Genomic DNA, 4,531 nt, shown 5'->3' on the forward strand with positions numbered 1-4,531 from the left:
AAGACACAAAGTTCAAGACATCCAAATGATAATCTATGGGCTATCACTGAAATTAAGATTATTATAATATATTGTTTAGAACAACACAAACATTTCTGCAGCTTTTAAATGAAAAATAAATAGAGCAAGGCCATCAGAGTCAAAAAGATTAATATAAAATCTGGGTATCTTCAGGCTTTATGAATAACCAAGAAAAATCTTCTAATTCATATGTGAATATATTATGTTACATTACAAATGGGAATTGAAGTTGCAGATGCAGTTAAAGTTTCTAATCACTAATCACACAATTCTAATTCTAATCTAATTGACCTTAAAATAGGAAAATTATTCTATACCATATGGGTGGCCCCAATGTAATCACAAACATACTTTTCTTTATTTTTTAGATAGAGTCTCACGGTGTCACACAGGCTAGAGCACAGTAATGCAATCATAGCTCACTGCAGCTTTGAACTCCTGGGATTACAGGAGCATGCTACCCAGCTAGGGTCCTTAAATGTAAATTGAAGAGGTCAAGGAGGAGTCAGTGTCAGAGTGATTAAATGTGAGAAAGACTCAACTAGCCATCCCAGACTTTCAAGATTAAAGAGGGGCATGAACCAAGGAACGTGGGTAGCCTCTAGAAAGCAGAAAAGGCAAAAAAAAAAAAAAAAAAAAAATGTGATTGCTGCTACAGCCTTCAGAAATGAACATAATCTTGCCCTCTGCTGACACCTTGACTTTAACCCAGTAAGACCTATTTCAGACTTCTTACCTTCAGAATTGTAAAACAATAAATCTGTGTTGTTTTTCATCACTAAGTTATGGAAATTGTTATAATGACTATGAAGATGAAACTAATAAGAAAATTATGTCCATCTTTTCCACCACTGCATTCCCAGTGTATAGCAAACAATAAGTTCCATTAACACCAAGGATGCTTAGCGAACCATCCCAACATGAAATTCACATTATTTCCAAACTCATTCCTTTTCTTGCCAAATAATGCCTTAGACATTACAATTTATGGGTCTAAAAGGTAATCCCACAGCTGCCACTAATCTTTCTACCACAAATCTTTAAATGTCAAAGCAGACACCAGTGACAGATCGCTTTCAGCTCCAAACTTTAATAATGATTTAAACAGTGAAGGTAGGCACCAGTGTCACAGTATCCTTAGGGTATCACTTTTTAGCCAGAAGCCTCTGTGGCCAGTGGCACCTTTGCCCAAGTTTTGCTTGGGCCCACTGGGCTCATTCCACCCGCTCAACCCGGCAAGCTGCACGTGACTTGTGCTACCAGCCCAGATCCCAAGCCTCCTGAGGGCGAGCAGGGCATGGAGTGGTGACGGTTGTGTGAGCAAGCGAGTGTGGGGTCCAGCCATTGTGCACACCCAGGCACACTGGCTGCTGTGGTGGGGCAGGAAGCTCCAGGCACCAGCACAGGTGCTGGCTCCATGCAAGCCTGTGGCTGGATCAGATGCACCACAAGTAGCTCCTGCTGTGGGCACCCATGTCTGGATGAGGGGAACACAGTGGCACCCAGAAGCTTGGAGATGTCAGAAATCACGGAGCCCCACAGAAGATGTCACAGCCCTGGGTCAGGGAGCCCCTAGGTCTGGGATCCTGGAAAGGCCACATGACTCTTCTTTCCTTGCCACCTGCAACATGGAGAGCAGGGAAGAGGGGGCATGTTTCAGCCGTTTGCGTTACAGCTCTTCCAACCTTGCCATTCTGCAAGTCCCAGGATCTTGTTCTATGTCCAGGAAGAATGAGGTGACACAGACAACTGGAGGGTGAGCAAGGTGAAAAGGTGCTTTATGAGTGACAGTACAGTTCTCAGGGGACCTGAAGTGGGTAGCTCCTTTCCACAGACAGGTCGTCCCAAGGAGTTCAGCGCTCGGCAGAGAGGAGACCTGGAGTGGGTAGCTTCTACCCAGAGGCAAGACTTCCTGACATCTGTACAGCCCTCAGCAGAGAGGAGACACAGAGTGGGCAGCTCTTATCTGCAGGCAGGTTGTCCCATTGAGTCTGCAGCCTTCAGTGGAGAGGACACCTGGAGTGAGTAGCTCCTATCCACAGGAAGGTCATCCCAACATCTCTGTGAGTCTGTCTGAGTCTGGGGTTTTTCTGGGGTTTAGAAGAGAGGAAGTACCTGCTGATTCATCCATGGACAGCCATGGCAGGGCCAGGATAAAGCATAAGTTCTCATTCTAGGCCACGAGACTCTACCTGGAACTGACAACCCAGCCCTCATGCTTCGGCCCATCCCTGGCTGGAAGGTGGGGCATCACCAGGAACTAACCCTTTTCCACCCAGGAGCCTGTCTGCCCCCTGCCACCATCTACATATAATCTATGGCATCCAGGCTGTTCGTGCTGAGGGGCTCCTGCAGGCCCGTAACCAGCTGCCCTCAGCAGCTCCCATCAGCCTCCCTCTCGTGCTCATAGACACCCAAAGTCCAGAGGGCGCTGAGGCAGCAGGGGGCTGGCGTGTCAGTGCTGCCCCAAGTGCATGCACACCCAGCCGGTTCACAACAGTGCCCAGGCTCGGTTTCAACTTTGCTCTGAAATTGGAGCAGGTGCCGGGGGCCAGAAAAGGCCAGGAGAGCCCAGGAGAGGCCAGGTAGCAAAAGCAGGCATTCCCAAGCCTGCAGGGGCAGGGGGACTTCCTGGGCCCCCATAAGTGCAGGGATGCCCAAGTCCACAGCTGCGCCAACTCAGCAGCGGGTAGGGTTCCTGCCTGTTCCCAGCTCCTGCTAGTTCCATGGAGCGCTCAGCCCCAGCCATGCCTCCTCTGCTGCCGCCAGCGTCTTCACAGCAGCTGCTCCAGATAGGCTGCTTTTACCATCACCAGAAACAAACTAAACAATCCATTCCTGAAGAAGCTTCAAACTGTCAGATGTACCTTCCAAGATTCTCTTTTCTTCTGCCTCATTAGTCAATGTTTTGGTTTCAGGTTAAAGGAGAAGTTTCAAGCAATACATGTAAAAGTACTGTTCATAAGCAAAGCCATTTTTGTTTCGTAGCTCTTTTATAATCTCCTAATTACATAGGTAGGAAAATGGTTATGTAACACTCCCCCACACATTTTCCAGCCAGCCATGTTCCATAAATGCATACATTCCTCTTTGAAATGCGCTAAGCAATCTAGAAAGACTGCGTACATCTGGCTAAAACTATTTTATAGTTAGAGATTTCCTGGTACACTTCTAATTAACACTATTAACTTTACAGGGAGGTCTGGTCATAAGTACCTACTTACAAAGTGATGTCCTCTAGTGATTCATTCCTCTGGGTACCTGGTGTGATCAGAGTGAGTTATTGCCCTGCTGTTCATTTTTTTTAGCCCAACAGGGCACATCCTGGTTGACCATCATAGCAAAGAGAGGGAATGGACAAGACAATTCACTAATCAAAATGATTAAATTATTTTTCAAGATTCACCCATACCTGTTTCTAGAACATTTTTTTTAAGTATAACTGAAAGATAATCAGTTATTCTCTATGAGGAGTATTTAATGGAGATACGACTTACAAAACTGACAGAAATCGACATGTAATCAAGCAAACAATATTTTACGCCTATTTCTTTTTGGAACATACAAATCAGAATTTTAGGCAAGATTGTTTGCATATCTGAAAAAAAATGCTATAAAAATGTAAGACATTTAGAAATGTTCCTTAGTCGTTTGTGATGTGTTAATTAGTGTAGATAACCAACTATTCTGAATATTAAGAATAAATGCTTGAAAAAATCAGTTGTTGAAACTCACTTTTTATTAAGTATTTATTTATTAAGGTCTAAGTAAATAGTGAAAATCCTTACGCTTGTGCATGGCTCTCTAAACTCCGGAGAGCCAGATGATACAAACTGATCTCATACCTTTTTATTTAAGATAACTGAATGTCCCAATCTAACATCTAAAAAAATACATCTAAAAAATGCATTGTTTGATGATGTTTTTAGAAAATTATTGAAAACGATGACTCAATATATTATATTATCTATTTATTAAATAATAGTTAAGAGGACCAAGAGACATTAAAAATAATTTCTGATACTAATCTCTAAAAGGAAAATAAAGTACATTTCAAATGCTGATCATTCCGATAAGATTTTCCATTTCAATTATTTCATTAGCATATGCATCTTTTTGTTTGTTTTGCCATGAGTCAAAAAAAAATCAGAACTTTTCAATAAATTACTGTTATTACACTGCAATTAGGACAGCCCTTAAAGGATAAATTAGAAAATAATGAGAACTCCCCAAATATAATGCTTTATCTTCATTAATATTACAAACATTTAACTTTCGTAGCTTTTTTATAGCAAGAATTTATAAATTTAAAGTATACTTCAGAATAGGTCAGTGAACCCAAAGTGTGTTTTAGAGCATAGTTATATATATCCTTTGGTAGTAAGAGCAGGGTAGATCAATAACAAAGACATAAACACACACATCTATAAACACAAATGCCTCTCTCTATTTCTCTCTGGTGTGTGGTTTCTGCCTCAATATCACTTGTTCTCTCTTGCTCTTTCTGTCA

At 42.2% G+C, this 4,531-nt stretch overlaps 2 annotated features.

The window, feature by feature from the left end:
* Positions 878 to 1,379: an enhancer, noted in NCBI's record as "H3K4me1 hESC enhancer chr4:45285063-45285564 (GRCh37/hg19 assembly coordinates)". NCBI's record gives its function as "activates a minimal SCP1, AML or CMV promoter by ChIP-STARR-seq in naive H9 embryonic stem cells {active_cell/tissue: H9 hESC(naive)}" and the evidence as "EXISTENCE:reporter gene assay evidence [ECO:0000049][PMID:30033119]".
* Positions 1,380 to 1,879: an enhancer, noted in NCBI's record as "H3K4me1 hESC enhancer chr4:45285565-45286064 (GRCh37/hg19 assembly coordinates)". NCBI's record gives its function as "activates a minimal SCP1, AML or CMV promoter by ChIP-STARR-seq in naive H9 embryonic stem cells {active_cell/tissue: H9 hESC(naive)}" and the evidence as "EXISTENCE:reporter gene assay evidence [ECO:0000049][PMID:30033119]".

Source organism: Homo sapiens, chromosome 4, assembly GCF_000001405.40.
Source record: "Homo sapiens chromosome 4, GRCh38.p14 Primary Assembly".
Lineage (NCBI taxonomy): Eukaryota > Metazoa > Chordata > Mammalia > Primates > Hominidae > Homo > Homo sapiens.